This window comes from Homo sapiens, chromosome 2 (assembly GCF_000001405.40).
Source record: "Homo sapiens chromosome 2, GRCh38.p14 Primary Assembly".
In the NCBI taxonomy this organism is placed as follows: Eukaryota; Metazoa; Chordata; class Mammalia; order Primates; family Hominidae; genus Homo; species Homo sapiens.
Genome location: NC_000002.12, coordinates 71,021,949 through 71,043,434, shown reverse-complemented (window position 1 = coordinate 71,043,434; position 21,486 = coordinate 71,021,949). Strand labels below are relative to the sequence as shown.

Sequence of the window (21,486 nt, the reverse complement as noted above, 5' to 3'; positions counted from 1 at the left end):
TTCTCCCCCTCGGGATATTCCGAACAATATCACAGTGGGTGTGTACAGCCCCTGCGACATTGCCGCTAGTATCTTCCTCTCCCTCCCAGGATATAAGGAAGAATGTCACAAGGGGGTATACACCGCCTGCGATATTGGCTGTAATATCTTCCTCTTCCCCACTGCCCTTTAGGAGCAATGTCACAGAAGGGTTGTACACCCCCTGCTATATTGGGAGTGATATCATCCTCTCCGTCCCTGGATATTAGGAACAATCTCCCTAGGGAGTGTACACCTCCTGCAATATTCAGACTAATTCATCCTCTCGCCGCCTGGATATTAGGATCAATATCACAAGGGTGGTGTGCACCCCCGGCGAAATTGGAAGAAATATCATCCTCTCCACCTTTGGATGTTAGGGACAGTATCACGGGGGAGGTCTCCGCCCCCTGCGATATTGGGAGTCATATCATCCGCTCCCACCCAGGATATTAGGAACAAGATGACCGAAGGGATGTACACCCACTGCGACACTGCGATATTTTCAATAATGTCATCTTCTACCCTCTGGCTATTAGGAGTAACATCATAGAGGGGTGTCCACTTTCTGCGATATTGGGAGTAATATCCTCTCCCCCACGGATATCGGGAACAGTTATCTCAATTATTAATATTAATAAATATAATAACAATTAATAGTAATCATCGATATTAATAATTACAGTAGAGACAATAAAACATCGGGATTAAAAATATTAAGGGTTACTATTAATAATTAATAGCAATATCACTATTAATAATACAATAATGATATCAGTAATTAAAGTTACTTCAATCAATCATAAGTGATGTTGGTAATAAAGTAATAATTAATATTAAGATTAATAACTAATAATAAAAGTGACATTAATATTAATAATTAACGTTAATCATGCATAATCCTATCTTGAAAATAATCATTAATGATTAATAACGTTATACTATTAATTAATACTACCATGGCTAATTATTAACAAGACTGATGTTTAATAATTCATAATATTATTACTGCTAATGCCGCAGGGGGTGTACAACTACCTGTGATATTGTTCCTAATATCCAGGGATGGAGAGCATGATATTAGTTTTCATATCACAGTAGGTGTACACTCACCCTGTGACACCGATCCTAATACCCAGCGGGTAGAGTATTACATGACTGCCAACATAGCAATGATTGTACAGCCACCCGGTGATATTGTTCCTAATATTCACGGAAGAAGCGTATGATATTACTCCCAATATCGCAGGGAGTGTACACCTCTTCTGTGATATTGTTCCTAGTAACCCGAGGGGGAGAGGATGACAATAATTGCAGCATCGCAGGGTGTGTTCACCCAGCCTGTGAAATTGTTATTAATATCCTGAAAGGGAGAGGATATATTACTCCCCATAATAGATAGATATGGCTCCCCATAATAGAGCAGGAGGTGTACACCCACCCTGTGATATTCTTCCTAATATTCAGAGGCCCAGAGGTTGATATTACTCCCAATATCGCAGGAAGTGTACACCTCCATGTGAGATGGTCCTTAATAATATTCCAAGGCGGAGGGGGTGATATGACGACATATATGGCAGAAAGTGGACACCCCTCAGGGATATTGTTCCCATGATCCTGGAGGCAAGACGATGATATTACCTTCAAAACGACAGAAGGTGGACACGCCCCCACTGATATTGTTTCTAATTGCAACGTGGGAGACGAGGATATGACACGCGACATCGCAGGGAGTAGAAACACCCCTGTGATACTGTTCTTAATATTCAGGGGGGAAGAGGATGATATTACTCCCAAAACAGACGGGTGAACACCCTCCATACACCGAGGGTGTACACCCGTCTGTGAAACAGTTCATAGTCTCCAGAGGGGGAGATGATATTACTCACAATATGGTAAACAGGCTGTGAGTCCACCGCTGATCCTAAAAACCAGGGGGAGAAGAGGGGGTGGCTCTTACTCCCCGCATCGTGGTGGGTGCCTCACCCGCCTTGCGATGGGGGTCCTAAGAGCCGGGGGGGAAGAGGGGCTGGCTCTTTCTTACTCCCCGCATCGCGGGTGGTGCCTCACCCCCCTGCAATGGGGGTCCTAAGAGCCAGGGTGGGGAAGAGGGGCTGGCTCTTACTTCCTGATTTTTCCTAGGATCCTTTCTATACTGCCACCCTCGGTTCGCACCCTGGGACATTATCTTCCATATTCTAGCAAGATGCGGCTGCTAAAGTCGCGGGGGGTATACAGCCTTCAATATTATTCGTAATTTTGTAGGGGAATTGTAAACCTGATGTCACAGGACTCTGTATACTGTGATGTTATTCCCAATATCCTACCTTTACCTTAGTAATAATGTCACATTGTGTGTACACCTTGTGGTGTTATTCTTATTCTCCTAAGGAGAGGTTGCTTTTATTGTCACATGGGGTATGTTCCTTTTGATAGTATTCATAATGTCCTAGAGGGATGTCACTCCTTATGTCACAGGGTTTGTACGCCTTGTCAAATTAGTCGTATTAACGTCATAAGATGTCACTCCTTATATCACAGAGGGTGTACACTCTGTGATATTGTCGTCATATTCTAGGGAAATGTTACTTTTAATGTCACAGAGGTTGCACACCTTGTGAAATTATTCGCTATAATTTTGTGGGATGTTACCCCTAATGTCACACGGCGTGTGCACACAGTGATGTTACGTCCGATATGCTATGGAAATGTTACTCGTAATTCACAGGTCCTGTCCACCCTTTACTATTCTTCGTAATCTTCTAGGAAAACGTTACTGCTAATGTCACAGGGCCTGTAAACCCTGTCATAAAATTCCTAAAATCCTAGCGGGAGTTCACTACTAATTTCACAATGCGTGTACACCCTTTGATATTATTCGTATTGTCCTGAAGAGATGTTACTCCTGATGTCCCAATGCAGGTACATTCTCCGATCTTATTGGTTATATCCTCGGGGGATGTTACTTGTAATGTCACAAGTGGTCTACTCCCTGTGTTCTATTTCATCATATCCTAGGGCAATGTTACTTTTAATGACACAGTGGGTGTACACATTGTGATATTATTCGTGATATTCTAGAAAGATGCTACTCCTAATGTCACAGGGCTGTACACCCTGTGATAGTATTCATAATTTCCCAGGGGTCTATACTCCTATTGGCACAGACGATAACACCCTGTGACATTATTCATAATATTCTAGCGAGATGATACTCCTCATGTCACAGGGGGTGTACACTCCGTGTTATTATTCTTACTATTCTAGGGGGATGTTACTCCTAATGTCACAGGGATGTACACCCTGTGATATTATTCATAGTGTACCAGAGGGATATTAGCACTAATGTCACGATGCGTGTACACCTTGTGATATTATTTGTCATATCCTAATGTCACAGGGGGTGTGTTCCGTGTGATACTCTTCCTAACATCCTAGACGGATATTGCTCCTAACGTCACAGGGGGTGTACACCTTGTCACATCATTGATAATATCCTAAAACTATGTTATTCCTCAGGTCACAGGGGGTGTTCACCCTGTGATATTTTTCGTCATAGTTTTGTGGGATGTTACTCCTAAAGTCACACGGGGTGTACCCAGAGTCACACAGTGATATGAGTTGTAATATTCTATAGACATGTTACTCGTAAATCACAGGGGCTGTACCTCCTGTGATATTATTCGTAATATTCTAGGGGAATGTTGCTACTATTGTCACGGGGGTGTACACCCTGTGATATGACTCATCATATCCCAGCGGGATGTTACTACTAATGTCACAATGCCTGTACACCCTGTGATATTATTTGTAATATCCTAAAGAGATGTTACTACTAAGGTCACAATGCATGTACACCCTCTGATATTATTCATTATATCCTCGGGGGATGTTACTCCTAATGTCACGTGGGGTGTACTCCCTGTCATATTATTCATAATATCCAAGGGGGATGTTATTTTTAATGTCACCGGGGGTGACGTTACACATTAAAAATGCGTATTCAACGCCTGTGATACTATTCCTAATATCCTAGGGGCATGCTCTTCCGAATGTCGCATGGGGTGTACACTATGTGTGTACACCTGCTGTGATATTATTCGTAATATCCTAGGGGAATGTTACACCTGATGACACAGGCGGTGTACACCATGTGTGTACCCCTCCTGTGTTATTATTCATAATATCCTAGGGGGATGTTTCTTTTAATGTCACAAAGAGTGTACAAAACGTCCCAGAAGGTGTACACGTTGTGACGTTATCTGTAATACCCTAGAAGGATGTTACTCCAATATGTCACAGGGGTGTACACGCTTTGATGTTATTTATAATCTCATAGAGAGATATTACTTCAAATATCACAGTGGATGTACACACATAGTGTATACCCTGTGATAGTATTCGTAATATCCTAGGGACATACAACTCCTGATATCACAGTGCGTGTACCCCGTGTGTGTACACCCTTGATATTAGTTGTAATATCCAGGGTAAATATTACTCCTCATATCACACAGTGTGCACACCCTGTGATATTTTTCCTCCTACTTTAGGGAGATATTGCTTCTAATATCACGGTGGGTGTACCCCATGTGTCTATACTCTGTGACAGAATATTCTATATCCTAGGGAGGTATTACTCCTAATATCACAGTGGGTGTTCACCCTGTGATATCATTCTTATTTGACCTTGCTGCCTTTTTAACCTACACTACAAAAGGAATGGAACAGATAAGAAGATATTGAGATTAGACCGTGCTGCCGTGCGGCCACCGCAGGACACTTTTAATATCCCTGTTTCTCAGGCTGTAGACAAAGGGGTTCAGCATGGGGGTGACCACCATGTACATCACTGAGGCCACTGCAACCTTCCTCGGGGAAGATGACACATCTCAACTGAGGTACCCTCCAACGCCTGTTCCATAAAATCAGCAAACAACTGACAGGTGAGACCCACAGGAGGAGAAGGCCTAATACTTCCCACCTGATGATGAAACCCTCAGAATGGAGGAAACAATTTTATAGTAAGAGAAAAGGGAACCCGAGATGGGAAGAAAACCAAATATGGCAGCAGGGAAATACATGATTATGTTATTGGTGAAGGTGTCACAACATGCAAGATGGGGGAGTTGAGAAGGGTCACAGAAGAAATTAGGAATTTCCACATCCTTGAAGCAGGTCATTTGTAAGGCAATCAAGTTGTGCAGCTGGGCATCTAAAAGACAGAAAAAAAAAAAAGACAACAAAACTAGAAAGCCACAGAAACACGGGTTCATGATGGCTGAATGATATAGAGGGTGACAGATGGCTACAAAGCGGTCAGAGGCCATCACACTCAGGAGCGTGTCTCTCTTCCATGCCTCCAAAAATGGCAAAGGGAGACATCTGAGTCAGGCAGCCTGCATAGGAGATGACTCTGCTGTGAGATTGGATGTCCACAATCATCTTGGCTACCGTGGTGGAGGTGAAACCGATGTCAGGCAAGGACAGGTTGGAGAGGAAGAAGTACATGGGGGTGTGGAGGTGGGAGTCAGGGCTGACGGCCAGGATGATGAGCAGGTTCCCCAGCACCGTTACCAGGCACATGGACAGGAACAACCCAGCAAGGACCAGCTGCCATTCTGGATCCTCTGAGGTTCTCGGAGGAGGAATATAGAGACATCTGTTAGATTCTGTGGGTCTGTAGAGATTGGACACCTTTTGCCTAGAAAAGAGGATTGAGAAATCGGAAACAAGTAAACCAACACCCAGAATCATGTCTGCATTTTGGATAGAAACAATTCGCAAGTAATGTTTTCAGATTTCAGAGCAAGCCACATTCAGCAATACTTTGCAGTTCTGACAAACTCAATTGTCTTCTAATGCTTTCATCATTGATTTCTGTGTTATTCACTTCTTGCTGTACACACCTGCCTCAGAGACACTAGATTCAAGAATGTTCCAAGAACCAGATCATCATATATAACAAATTCATAATTGCTAGAAAAGACAGCCTATCTTTACCGAAGGAAACTATGTAATAAAACCATTCTCTTCACTGTAAGAAAAAGGTTATCCTAGTGAAAGGAAATTAAGAACTCAAATATTTTATTTTATTCGAAGAGATTGATAGAAATTCCCTTGATTTAGAACATCTGTAAACACTGTATAACTGCTGAGACCATGCCATCTGGAAATGAAATTAAAGTTGATAGTTCATAAGCAGAAAATAGTTCCACAGGCCAGTTAGGTCCTAGTGATGTCATCAATATGTTTTCTGACTTTTCTCCTTCAAGAGAGTAATTTCTTACTCAAATCGGTGGGTCTTGTTTTAAAATTCATGTAAGCTGTAACTCCTGTCCTTAGCTTCGGTGGACTTAGAGTTTTCATCAGAACGTTTGGCCGGACGCGGTGGCTCACGCCTGTGATCCCAGCATTTTGGGAGGCCAAGAAGGGTGGATCACGAGGTCAGGAGATCAAGACCATCCCGGCCAACATGGTGAAACTCCGCCTCTACTGAAAATACAAAAACTTCACCCAGTATGGCGGCGCGCGCCTGTAGTCCCAGCTACTCGGGAGGCTGAGGCAGGAGAATGGCTTGAACCTGGGAGGCAGAGGCTACAGTGAGCCGAGATCACACCACCGCACTCCAGCCTGGGCAACAAGAGCAAAACTCCTTCTCAAAAAACAAAAAACCAAAAACACACGCTCTGTCACACTGACGTCACACCGATGACAGCCAATTTTTGTGAACCAAGGAAGTGTCAATTCAACAATTCACATAGATGTTTACTTTGCTATCTCCTTGATGCCAAGCAAGATATAGGCTCTGGGGAATCAGAAACAAAAGAGACTCACTTGTTCCTCTCACAATACTCAGTACTTACTGAGATAAGGACAAAATAAAATGTCCTGTCCGGAATGCAGGGAAACCAGAACTTCAGGTCAGGGGACATTTCCGTTGAACCGTATGGAGTTTAAGCTTAAAATACTAACGAATGTATCTAAAATTCACTTTGCCTTTACTTTACGCATCCATCACATAGAGATCACGCAGCAGGCACCCACGATTGGTTTAATCATCGCTCACTTCCATTGGATCAACTAGAAATCAACTCAGATGAGAGTGCTGAGTCTCAGAGGATGGACGTCTCACCCCTTGCCATACAGATAAGTAGAAAGGGTGGTACTGAAAATCAATGGCCAGACTCTAAGTCCCGGGCACTATACTTGATGGTCTCCCAACCCTCAAAATGTTGTGGGTTCTTTTTTGTTTGTGTTTGTGTTTTTATTTTTGTTTTTGTTTTTGAGACGGAGTCTCGTTCTGTTGCCTAGGCTGGAGTGCAGTGGAGTGATCTCGGCTCACTGCAACCTCCGCATCCCAGGTTCAAGCTATTCTCTTGCCTCAGCCTGCCGAGTAGCTGAGATGACAGGCGCCCACCACTATGCCCAGCTAATATTTTTCTCTTTTTAGGAGAGACGGGGTTTCACTATGTTGGCCAGGCTGGTCTCGAACACCTGACCTTGTGATTTGCCTGCCTCAGCCTCCCAAAGTGCTGGGATTACAGGTGTGAGCCACAGCACCTGGCTTCCACAAGTTTTCAACAGAGCTCAGAGGTCTTAATCACGGGCACATCTGAGGAGCATTTTTGAAATGGTTTCCAGCTTCCTCAATAGGAACGGAAGCCAAACCCCGAATGTATGACTCCTTTGAGGAAGTCGAGAGCTGTAAGGAAAGCCAGGAAAGGGGCAAGGGAGAGATGCATCCCGAATGATCCTGTGCCAATTCTTTCTGCAATCTTTGATGTGATCTCAGCTGCCCTTTCCATACTTGACACAGTGATTGTGGCACCCACTGGTCTAGCTGTGGTCTACAAGGAACCCCCAAAGGGAAGGGCACAGTGAGCCGGGGCATCGGCCTGAGTGACAAGGATTTGAGAGGGCAGGTTGGATGCAGGGAGAGGACTGGCCAAATGCCATGTGTCTGGCCTTAGACTGCCTGGTTCAAATTGGGCTTCACCCTTTTTGACTTCATGATCTGGTACAAGTTATATGAAAATGTGTTGCTCCTTTTCTAGTCTGTAAAATAATCATGAAATGTGCACGAATAACTGGGAGACTACGCAGATGAAATGAAACAAGCTGCATAGAGCACAGAGCTCAGAGCCTGGCCTTCAGGAAGCCCTCAGTTAGGGTTCATGATGCCATGGTGTCTGTCATCATCCTCTTTAACCTCATCATCAGCTTCATCATCTTTTTGTTGTTCTGAGGGAATAGTTTAGAGGGACTCATTCCCTGCTATCGTGGGTGAGATGTCTATGAAAAGGACAACCAGTGGGGGAGGTAGGCAAAATTTTGAAGAAGATTCCTGAGAGAGACCCCCCACCACAACCAAGAACAGAAACTCCACAGTCTGCTGAGCTGACAGTTTGCACATTGGTCTCCTCCCATCTGCCCACGGCACTCTCCTGTTTGTCCTGAGGATGAGGAAACAAACAAGGCTCCCGACGGTCCCTCAGCACTCACTGAACTGCCCTTCCCCTCTGCTGGGCCATGACCACAGAGAACAGGTCCACTGTCCTCCCTGCGTGGTGCACATTGGAGGCTCAGACTCCGTCCTCAAGGCTGGCCAGAAGACAGGGTGAGACATGAGCCTCCTGATACAGGTGACGGTTGTGGAGCCCACAGGACTGCAACCTCACACTGCAGGGCTGGAGGCACAGACTGAGTATTTACTATTCTATGGCCTGGGGGGCTCAAGGCACAGAGCTCCTCATTAGCCAGAGTCGCCCAAGTTCCCCAAGCTCTAAGGATTTCCTCATCATCATGCAAGAAGAAGAAGAGAAAAGTGAGTGTCCATAGAAGCTCTGGGGCTCTTCCTCTAATCAGGAGAGAGCTTGTGTGTATTATTCGCTTCTTTCTTTTCTTTTACAAGATCCAAGTGCTTTAATTTTCATCTTTTATTATGGGAAAATACACCACATATAAATGCTAAAAATTATAAATCTAGATTATTTCATATAGAATGGCCAGTATAAACATTTACAATTTGCACTGTTTTTCAGTTTACGGTTTAATCACATTAGGTACATTCACATTGTTTAGCAACCATCACCGCCATCATCTCCAGAACAGTTTTATTCTTGAAAATGGAAATTGCACCCATTAACCAAACTCTCCATTCCTCTCTCTCTCGCCCACCCCTGGGGGCCACCATTCTATTTTGCAACTCTATAAATTTAACTACTCTAGATGTGTGATATAAGTGGAATCATACCGTGTTCAATTTTTTTGGTTCGTTTGTTTTGGAGACAGAGTCTTTCTCTGTCACCCAGGCTGGAGTGCAGTGGCATGGTCTCAGGTGACTGCAACCTCCACACCGTGGGTTCAAGCGATTCTTGTGTCTCAGTCTCCCGAGTAGCTGGGATGACAGGCGTGCGCCACCACGCCCAGCTAATTGTTGTATTTTTAATAGAGACGAGCTTGCACCGTATTGGCCAGGCTGGTCTCGAACTCCTGACCTTAAGTGATCCGCCTGCCTCAGCCTCCCAAAGTGCTGGGGTTACAGGTGCGAGCCACTGAGCCTGGTCGTGTTTATCCTTTTGGGATTTATTTATTTCACTGACGAGAATGTCTTCAAGGTTCATCCGTGTTGCACCCTGTGTCAGAAGTGCCTGTCTGGTTGTTTGAGTGTTTTGTTTTGATTTTTTTGTTTTGTTTTGTTTTGTTTTGTGTTCACATGGAGTCTCACTCTGTCGCACAGGCTGGAGTGCAGTGGCACAATCTGGGCTCACTGTAACCTCCACCTCCCGGGTTCAAGCGATTCTTGTGCCTCCGCCTCCCGAGTAGCTGGGACTATAGGCACACGCCACCACGCTCTTCTAATTTTTTGCATTTTCAGTAGAGACAGGGTTTTACAAGATGGCCAGGCTGGTCTTGAATTCCTGACCTCAGGTGATCCGCCCACCTCGGTCTTCCAAGATGCTGGGATTACAGGCGTGAGCCACCGCACCGGCCGGAAGTGCCTGCCTTTTTAAGGCTGAATAGTCTTCCATCGCATGAATGAACTGCAGTGTGCTTTTTCATTCATCTGTCCACGAACCCTTGGGTTGCTTCCACGTTTTGGCTGTTGTGAATAATGCTGCCAAGAATTTGGGTGTACAAATCTCTCTTCCACTCCTGGCTTCTAATTCTTTTTGGCAGGTACCCACAAGCGCAACTGCGGGAACATCCGCTAATCCTGTTTCTACTTTTTCCGGTACACGCCATACTATTTTCCCGGTTCCATCACGGTTTTACATTCCCTCCAATCAGATTCGAGCATTCCTACTTCCCTCTAGTTTCACCAATGCTTGTTTGTTTATCATATCCATCCAAATGTGTGGTATCACATTCTTGGTTTGATTTGCGCTTCCCTATGATTAGTGATTTTGAACATCATTTTAGATGCTTATTGGCCATCGCTATATCTTCTTTAGGGACACGTCTACTCGAGTCTTCTGACCATTGTGAATGGGATGCTTTGGGTTTCTTGTTGTTCAGTTCTAGCTGTTCTTTGTACATGATGCATATCAGCCTCTTTTCAGAGATATGATTTGCAAATATTTTTCCTAATCCATGGGTTATCTTTTCACTCAGTTCACAGTGTTTGCTGATGCACAAAAGTGTCTGTCATTTAGATGTCATCCAAGGAATCTAATTTTCTTTTGTTGCCTATGCTTTTGGTGTCATATCCCAGAAAGCATTGCCCAATCTGATGTCATGAAAGTGTGACCAATGTTTTCTTTTAGGCATATTATACTTTCAGCACTTGGGGTTAGGTCTTTGACCCAGTTTGTGTTAATTTTTGCACCTGGTGTGACATAGAGTCCACCTTCATTCTTCTGCATGTGGAAATCAAGTTTCTCCAACACCATTTCTCGAAAAGGCTGCTTTTCCACCAATGGACTTTCTTAGCACTCATGTGAAAAATCATTTGAACATATAGGTGAGAAGTTATTTCTGGGCTCAAAAACAAACAAACAACAACAGACAACAGAGAAGGATGCAGCATGGGCCGGGTGCGGTTGCTCACGCCTGTAATCCAAGCACTTTGGGAGGCCGAGGCGGGCGGATCACCTGAGGTCAGGAGTTCAAGACCAGCCTGACAGACAGGAAGAAACCCCTGTCTCTACTACAAATACAACATTAGCTGGGTGTGCTGGGGCATGCCTGTAATCCCAGCTGCTCAGGAGATGGAGGCAGGAGAATCGCTTGAACCCAGGAGGCAGAGGTTGCGGTGAGCCAAGAATGCACCATTACACCCCAGCCTGGGCAACAAGAGTGAAACTCTGTCTCAAAACAAAAAACCAAAAACAAAAAATCCAGCATGATTTCGAGAGCAGAAAGAGAATAGCTGGAAAACCAGCATAATGAGAAAGTTAGGAAACTTCTTACCAAAGCATCTGGAAATATGCAAGAAATTCTTGTGAACTAAAATTTTCATACTGTACTATCAAACATTAGAACTCACTTATTCCATCTTTCTGTATTTGGGGACCCAATTATCCACTTCTCTTCATTTCCCATCCCACCCCTTTTCTTCCTAGCGTCTGCTAACCACCCTTATACTTTCCACCTTCCTGAGATTCCTTTTGTGTGTAGGTGTGTGATGGAGTCTCTTTCTGTTGCCCAGGTTGGAGTATACAGGCACAATCCGGGCTCACTGCAACCTCCACCTCCCAAGTTCAAGCGCTTCTTGGGCCTCAGCCCTCCGAGTAGCTGAGACTACAGGCACGCGTCACCACGCCCAGCTAATTGTTTGTGTTTTCAGTAGAGACGGGGTTTCACCATGTTGGCCAGGTGGGTCTCGAACTCCTGGCCTCAAGTGATCCGTGCGACTCGGCCTCCCACAGTGCTGGGATTACAGGCCTGAGCCACCACACCTGGCCAAGATTTTCTTTTCTGTTCCTACCTAGAAGTGATGATATGAAATATTTGTCATTCTGTGCCTAGCTTATTTCACTTAACATACAGACCTGCAATCTCATCCATTTTGTCTGCAGTGGAGAGGATTTCGTTTATTCCTTTTTAGGCTGAATAATACTTCATTGTGTGTGTATACCACAGTTTCTCAATTGAAACAAATTTCTAAAAACCAAATGTTTTTAACATGTCTCGGAATGTGAAACTTCAGGGATACTGTGCCCGTTTTATTCTTTTCTATTTCCCATCTTATGTATATGCAAGTGTATAACAAAGCAGCAATCAAAGTGTGTATAAATCTATAATTTCAACAAATGTAAAATGAAAATGCTAAGTGGTGGCTGGGCGCGGTTGCTCACGCCTGTAGTCCCAGAACATTGGGAGGCGGAAGTGGGAGGATCACCTGAGGTTGGGAGTTCAAGACCAGCCTGACCAATATGGAGAACCACTGTCTGTACTAAAAATACCAAAAAACAAAACAAAACAAAACAAACAAACAAACAAAAAAAAACTTAGCCGGGCACGGTAGCGCATGCCTGTAATCCCAGCTACTTGGAAGGCTGAGACAGGAGAATCACTTGAATACGGGAGGCAGAGGTGGCAGTGAGCCGAGATCGTGCCATTGCACTCCAACCTGGGCAACAAGAGTGAAACTCTGCCTCAAAAGGAAAAGAAAAAAAAAAAGAAAAGAAAAAGAAAAAAATAGAAAATGCTAAATGGTAAGAAACAACAGCATAATAAACATTTGTATGGTGTTGATGGACAATGCATTTCAGGATAATATTTGAAGAAATCATATTACAATTAACTTCTGTTCTTACTCATTAGAGCTTGATGCCTCTAAAAACTTTGTCATTGCAAGCACCTCTGGTGCTTTAAAAAAAAAAAAAAAAAATCCACATACTCACACAGGTGCAGGGAAATCAGAATCTCAGGTAATGAGACCCAGGCCTCATCAATTGTAAGCTCCTCAGGTGATTTGACTCAAAGCCAAACTTGAGGACCAGTGACATGGATCTCTACACATAACCTGCCCAAATAGATTCTCTAGAAGCAGTTTATAAAGAAATTCCACATGAACTCTGGAAGAGGATATGAATTTGATATACAGTATGTCCTCACTTAACATCTTTGGAAGTCTCTTGGAAACTTCACCTTTAAGCAAAATTAGGTAGAGTGAAACCAGTTATTCCTCACCAACATTATAACTACACAACTTTGAATGCACCAATGGTGTTGGAGGACCTGCTGTACATTGCTTCCATAAAGTCAATTTTCAGGGAATTCCAAAATGAAGTGAGGACTTCACGTATATAAAAAGAAGGTTGTGATTCCACCTGGATGACAGGGTTATTGCTCAGAAACTAAAGGAGGCCACCTAGGTATAGAGGATTCAGTCATGAGGTTTCTGCTAAACAAAGGATCCCAGAATCCTCACCCCTTCCAGTTAAAGGCATAACGAAGAAAACAATATTCACATAGGAAACGCGGAAAGAAATAAAAGCCATCAAGCCACAAAAATAATGTGACTAAGGGGCAGGATTTGCAGATGTAGGGATTTAATGTGCTTGCCCTTTCTTACCCACACAAGAAAAAGGATGGAACAGATCATGAGATTTGACTGTTCTGCTGCGCAGCCTCCACAGGGCGCTTTGAATGTCCCTGTTTCTCAGGCTGTAGATGAAAGGGTTCAGCATGGGGGTGACCACAGCATACGTCACTGACGCCACCACACCATTCCTGAGGGGTGGTGCCACAGCTGAAGTCAGGTACACGCCAATGCCTGTTCCATAAAATAAGCAAACAACTGGCAGGTGAGAGCCACAGGCGGAGAAGGCTTTATACTACCCATCTGACGATGAAATCCTTAGAATGGAGGGGACAATTTTATAGTAAGACAAAAGGATCCCTGAAATGGGAAGAAAACCAAACATAGTACTATCGAAATATATGAACATGCTATCGATGATGCTGTCAGAACAGGCAAGCTTGAGAGGTTGAGATGGGTCACAGACAAAATTAGAGATTTCCACATTCTTGAAGAAGGTGAATTGCAACACAATCCAACTGCGCAGCTGGGAATCCAACAGGCTAAGGAAAAGGACACCGAAACTAAGAAGACACAGAGGTGAGGATTCACGATGACTGGGTAGTGCAGAGGGCGACAGATGGCTACAAAACAGTCATAGGCCATCACAGTCAGGAGCATGTCTTCTACACATGCAAAAAGGACCAAGAAAGACATCCGTGTCAGGCAGTCCGCATAAGAGATGACTCCGCTATGCGACCGCATGTCCACAATCATCTTGGGAACCGTGGCCGAGGTGAAACCGATGTCAGCCCAGCACAGGTTGGAGAGGAAGAAGCACATTGGGGTGTGGAGGTGGGAGTCAGAGCTGACAGCCAGGCTGATGAGGAGGTTCCTCAGCACCGTGACCAGATACATGGACAGGGACAGCCCAGCGAGGATGGGCTGCAGTTCTGGATCCTCTGAGAGTCCCAGGAGGAGGAGTTCTCAGGCTCCTGTGAGATTCCGTGGCTCTGTGTGACTTGGACACCTTGGGAAGAAAAGAAGGTTGGAAAAATAAAAGATAAAAACCAGCCCTTAATGCTGTGTGTATATTTTGGATGCAAGCAATTCACAAGGAACATTTTCACACTTGAGGACCATACACCGTCAGCAATATTTCTCAGTTGTGACAAACCCAAAAATCCCAGAATTATTCCATGATGATTTACTGTTTTCTATTCAACTCCTTCTGTATGTACTACTTTAGAGAAAATCCACTGAAGAATGTTAGAAGACCAAAACATAATATATAACAAATCCGTGATCTCAGTAAAATACGGCCTACTCTTTTCAGAAAGAATAAAACGCAATGAAGATGCTCTTCTGTCTTTAAGAAAAAGATGTCAGCCTAATTGAAAGAAATTAAGAAGCAGTGAAATACACTCTGTTTTATTCTGACACCGTGCGACAAATTCCTTTGATGTAGAATATGGAAAAGGATGATACAAGAGCTAGGACCGCATTATCTAAAAATGAAATCGAAGCTTAGAGTTCTTTATCTGAAGACCTTTTAACATGCCAGTTACTTTTCATATTTATTATCATCCTTAGGTTTTCTGACATCATTTCTTCATAAAAGTACATGCACACTCAAATATGGGAGCTGTGTTTCCAAATTAATTGAATATATAACTCTTGGCCGAGCGCCATGGCTCACACCTGTAATCCCAGCACTTTGGGTGGCCGAGGCCGACGGATCACCTGAGGTCAGGAGTTCCAGACCAGCTTGGCCAACGCGGTGAAACCCCATCTCTAGTGAAAATAAAAAACAATTAGCCGGGCCTGGTGGCGGGTAACTCTAGCTACTCGGGAGGCTGAAGCAGGAGAATCCCTTAGAACCTGGAAGGCAGAGATTGTACACCCTGTGATATTATTTTGGATATCCTAGGGGGATATTGCTCCTGACATCAGAGTGGGCGTACACCCTGTGATATTGTCTGTGATATCCTAGAAAGATGTTGCTCCTAATATCACAGTGGCTGCACACCCTGGGGTATTAATTGTAATATCCTACAGAGATATCACTCCTAATAATACAGTGGGTGTACACCCTGTGATATTATTCATAATATATTATGGAGATACGACTCCTGATATCACAGTGAGTGTACACCCTGTTTGTACGCCCTGTGATATTATTTGTAACAACTTAGAAAAATATTACAGCTAATATCAAAGTGGGTGTACACCCTGTGATGTTCTATGTTATCTACTCGGTAGATATTACTCCTAAGATCACAGTGAGTGTACACCATGTGTGTACACACTGTGAAATTATTCGTAATAACCTAGGAAGATATTACTCCTGATATCACAGTGGGTGTACACCCTGTGATATTATTTGTAATCACCTAGGGAGATACGACTCCTAATATTCCAGTGGGTGTACACTCTGCGATGTTCTTTGTAATGTCCTAGGAAGATATTACTCCTAATATCAAAGTGGATGTACACCATGTGTGTACACTCTGTGATATAATTCGTAATATCCCAGAGAGATATTTCTCCTAATATCACAGTGGGTGTACACTCTGTGATATTATTCATACTATCCTAGAGAGATATTGCTCCCAGTATCACAGTGGGTGCACACCCTGCGATGATATTCATCATATCCTAGAGAGACATTACCTCTAATATCACAGTTTCTGTACACCCTGTGGTATTATTCATAATATCCTAGGGAGATATTATTCCTAACATCACAGTGCGTGTACACCATGGGTGGACACCCTGTGATGTTTCTCGTCATATCCTAGGGGGATATTACCCTTAATGTCACAGTGGGTGTACACCACGTGTGTACACACTGAGAAGTTACTCGTAACATCCTAGGGAGAAATTACACCTAAAGTTACACTGGGTGTACACCATGTGTTTATGTTCTCTGATGCTATTCGTACTATCTTAGAAAGTTATTAGTCCTAGTGCCACAGTGGGTGTATACCATGTGTGTACGCTCTGTGATGTTATTGGTATTATCCTAGGGAGATAGTTCTCGTAACTTCACCGTGGGTGTACATCATGTCTGTACTCCCTGTGGTGTTATTGGTTATGTCCTGGGTTGACATTACTCCTAATATCACCGTGGGTGCACACCATGGGTGTACATTCTGTGATGGTATTCGTAGCATCCTAGGGAGATATCACTCCCTGAGTCATAGTGGGTGTACGGCCTTGTGATATTATTAGTATCCTTGGGACGTATTACTCCTGTTATCACAGTGGGTGTACACCCTGTGATAGTATCTGTCATATCCTAGGGAGATATTACTGTATACCCTGTGATATTATTTGTGACATTTTAGGGAGCTATTTCTCCTAAAATCAGAGTGGGTGTACACCCTGTAATATTCTTCCTAATATCACAGTGGGTGTACACCATGAGTGATATTTTTTCTAATATCCAGCGGGGAAGAGGATGATATTGCTTCCAATACCACAGAAGGTGTACACCCCGCTGTGATATTGTTCCTAATATCCAGGGAAGGAGAGGATGACATTATTCCCAATATCACTGGGGGTGTACCACCTCCCGCCGGGATATTGTTCTTAATATCCGGAGGTGGAGAGAATGATGTTACTCCCAATATCACAGGGGGTGTACACCACCCCTGTTCGTAAACACCCCCTGTGATATTGTTCCAAATGGCCTGTGAAAGAGTAAATATGACTCCCATTATCGCGGGGGGTGTTCAGCCCCGATGATATTGTTTTCTAACATCCAGGGAAGGAGAGTATGCTATTACTCCCAATATCGCAGGGGTTGTACACCCTTTTGTGTTTTTGTGCCCAATATCCAGGAAAATAGAGGCTGATATTACTCCCAATATCGAAGTAATTGTACAGCACCCCTGTGATATTCTTCCTCATATCCAGAAAGGAAAAGAATGATGTTACTCCCAACAGCCTAGGAAATGTATACCCGCGCTGTGATATCTTTCCCAATATCCAGGTGGGGAGAGGATCATATTACTTCCAATGTCGCAGGGTGTGTACACCCCCTCTGTGATCTTGTCGCTCACATCCAGGTTTGGGGAGGACGAGATTACTGCCAGTATTGCAGGGGGAGTACACTCCCCCGTGACCTTGTTAGTCATTTCCTGGGTGGAGAGGATGATATTACTCCCAATATCGCAGGGGTGTACACACCCCTGTGAAAATCTTCCTAACATCCAGAGGGAGAGAGGATGATATTACTCCCAGTACCACAGGGGGTTTACACAGCCCTGTGATACTCTTCCTAACATCCACAGGGAGAGAGGATGATATTACTCCCAATATCGCAGGGGGTGTACACTACCCTGTGATATTGTTCCTAATATCCAGAGCGAAAGAGGATGATATGACTCTCAATATCGCAGGAGGTGTACACCCCTCCTTTCCTATTGTTCTGAATACCCTGGGAGGGAGAGGGTAAGGTTACATTGAATATGGCAGGGAATGTACACCGTCCCCCTCTGATACCCTTCCTAATGTCCAGGGGAAGAGAGGAAAATTTTACTCCCAATATCGCAGAGGCACTACACCCCACCTGTGATGTTGTTCCCAATATGCAAGGGGAGAGAGGATGATACTACTCCCAATATTGCCGGGCTGTTCACATCTCCAGTGACATTTTTCCTAATATCTAGGGGAGAGACAATTATATGACAGCAAAGGTCGCAGGGTCTGCACATCCCTTCCTGATATTGTTCCTAATATCCAGGGGGGAAGAGGATGATATAAAATATGAAAGGGGGTGTACACCCCCCACCCCTACGATATTGTTCTTAATCTTCATGAGGGGAGACGATGATATTACTCCAAATATCGCAGGGGTTGTTGACACCCCCCTGTGATATTGTCTCTGATATCCGGGGGGGAGAAAATCTTATTACTTCCAATATTGCAGGTGGTGTATACCCCACCTGAAATATGGCACCGAATATCCAAAGAGGGAGAGGATGGTATTAATACCAATATCGAAGTGTGTGTACAAGCCCCTTGTGATATGGTTTTTAATATCCAGTGGGCGGGAGGATGATATTAGTCCCAACATCCCAGAGGGTGTACACCACCCCTGTGATACTGTCCCTAACTTCCAGACGGGAGAGGATGATATCACTCCCAATATCTCACAAGTTGTACATCCCCCGTGATATTGTTCATCATATCCAGGGAGGCAAAGGATGACATTCCATTGAATTTCACGACAGGCGTACATGCACAGTGTGATATTGTTCCTAATATCCAAGAAGGGAGAGGATGATATTACTCCCAATAAAGCAGTGGGTGTACATTACCCCTGTGTTATTGTCTCTAATATCCGGGGCCGGGGGAGGTGGGGAGAGGATAACATTCCCTCAAATTTAGCAGGTGGTTTGACGCCCCTTGTGGTGCTGTTTTAAATATCCAGCGGGGAAGACAATAGTATAGCACTATTTTTGATAGTCCGATTCATCCACTCCACCTTTCCGGAACTCTGAGGCTGGGAGGCGGCATGCAGTTTCCGTGTGATCCCCAATACCTTTGCCGTCTTCTGTACCATGGCAGCCAAAAACGCAGGCCCGTTATGTGAGCCGATCCGTAAGGGCAGTCGAAATCTAGGAATCAGATCTGGAAGAAGCACAGGGGTTTCTTGGCCAGCTTTCTCAGTTCGTGTTGGATAGGCCTCCACCCACCCAGAGTAGGTACACCCAAGAACTAGTGAATACTTGTTACCTCCACACTTTGGCATCTCTCTGAAGTCTACCTGGAGATCTCCAAAGGGGGCTGCTCCATAAGCTTGTATGCTGGGCGGAACGGCTGGACCTTGCCTCACATTATGCTGTCGGCAGGTAACACACCGCTGCCTCACCGTTTTGGCAAGGGCTGACAAATGCGAGGTGTAGAAATACCGGCCTAACAACTTTTCCAGTGACTCCTGACCTACATGGGTGGTTTCTTGCACAGCCAGTACAACTGCAGCTCCTAGCAACTGTGGCACAGCTACTCTCCCATCTGGTAACCGAATCCATCCTTCCTCCATCACTTGTCCTTCCCTCTACCTGGAGACAGTCCTTTTCTTCTTTAGAAGAAGTAGGTAGGTCCAAGATCAGGTGTTTGAGGGAGCACTGATGCCCGGAAGAGGGCAGATGCTGCTTTTCGAGCCTCTGAGTCAGCGTGGGAATTCCCCAAACCCAGCAAGGTGGAAGCTCGCTGGTGTCCTCTGCAATGCATAACTGCCACCTTGTGGGGTTTCCATACTGCTTCTCATAATTGCAAGATTTCTCGTTGATATTTTCTGTCTTTTCCCCCAGAGTTCAATAGGCCCTTTTCTTTCTATCACGCTCCATGCACTTGAAGGATTAAAAAGACATACCGAGAATCAGTGTAAATGTTGACAGTCTCACCTTCACTGAGTTCTAAGGCCCCAATGAAAGCAATGAGTTCAGCTTTCTGGGCTGCAGTGGCCTGGGGCAACGATCTGGCTTCAACAACAGTGTCCAGGGTTACCACTGCACACCCTGCACCTCTCTCTCCTTGGGGGTTGAAGAAGCTGTTCCCATCCACGTATAGTTCCCAGTCTACTGATGCCCAAGGCTGGTCCCGGAGGTCAGGTCTGCTAGAGTCAACTGAGTCCAACACTTCTACACAATCAGGCTCGACAGGGCTCTCTGATACCAGGAGCAAGGTGGCAGGGTGTAGAGTGTTACAAACTTCAATGGTTATACAGGGATTTTCACAGAGCAAAGTTTGGCACTTGGTGAGTCTGGCATTCATTAGTCAATGATGTCCTTTAGTATTCATTGAAGTCACCACAGCATGGGGGGCCTTTATGTTCAGGTTTTGCCTAAGAGTCAGCTTATTTGCTTCTTGGACTAGCAGGGCAGTTGCTGCCAAGGCCCTCAAACAGGGGGGCCATCCTTTAGAAACCCCGTCTACTTGTTTAGAGAGGTAGGCCACCAGCCTCAGCCAGGGCCCCACACTTTGGGTTAAAAGTCCAGCTGCCATCTTTTCTCTCTCTCAAGCATACAATGGAAAAGGCTTTGTCAGATCGGGTAGCCCCAGGGCTGGGGCTGCCAGAAGTTGTTCCTTTAACTCATGAAAGACTTGCTGTTGTTGGGATCCCCATTCCAAAGGTTCCCGGTCCCTGCCCCCTTTGTGACCTCCTACAAAGGCTTGGCTAATACTGCAAAGTTTGGGATCCACAGTCTGCAAAACCCCACAGCTCCTAAGAATTCTCTCACCTGCCTTCTGCCTTTAGGCTCGGGTAGATTGCAAATGACCTGCTTTCTTTCTTATCCCGGCCTCCGTTCCGACCCCTGTCGGATAGTAAATCCCAAGTAAGGTACCTGCTGTCGGCAGATCTGAGCTTTCTTCTTGGACACCTTATACCCACAGTCCTCCAGGTGCCGGTGTAGGGCATCTGTTCCCTTGGTGCACCCGACTGCCGTGGGGTGTCCCAGCAGAAGGTCATCAACCTACTGGAGCAACATGCAGCCTAGGTCTCTGGTGGGAAACTTCTGGAGGTCTTGAGCCAACGCCTCCCCGAAGATGGTGGGGGAGTTCTTGAACCCTTGGGGAAGCCCGGTCCAAGTGTACACTACTCAGTGTACTGACACCTGACTCCGGATCTTCCCACTGAAAGGCAAATAGCTTCTGCCTCTCAGGGGCTAATCTGATAGGAAAGAAAGCATCTTTCAGGTCCAAGCAGGTGAACCAGCTGTCCTCAGCTGGCAGCAACCCCAACAATGTGGATGGGTTAGGTACTGTTGGATGTAAAGTCAGTGTAGCTTGATTAAGCAAGCGCAAATCCTGTACCGGCCGGTAGTCCTTGGTCCGTGGCTTGGGAACAGGCAGGAGGGGAGTGTTCCATGGAGACTGACAAGGAACAATAATTCCAAAAGTTCTTAGGTGCTCGAGACGGACCTGGATACCTTGAAGAGCTTCTCTGGGGACCGGGTCCTGTTTTTGCCTAACCGGCTGGGCCC

The 21,486-nt window shown here is 44.9% G+C and overlaps 2 pseudogenes across 1 annotated transcript; both read right to left on the bottom strand.

Annotated features, from left to right (window-relative positions):
* OR7E46P (olfactory receptor family 7 subfamily E member 46 pseudogene) lies at window positions 4,769-5,713 on the bottom strand (annotated as a pseudogene).
* OR7E91P (olfactory receptor family 7 subfamily E member 91 pseudogene) lies at window positions 13,504-19,360 on the bottom strand (annotated as a pseudogene). The gene is made up of 3 exons (NR_002185.3): window positions 19,235-19,360; window positions 19,041-19,129; window positions 13,504-14,519 (listed from the first exon to the last, which is right to left on the bottom strand). The product of NR_002185.3 is annotated as an olfactory receptor family 7 subfamily E member 91 pseudogene (transcript).
* Window positions 19,361-21,486: the final 2,126 nt, after the last annotated feature.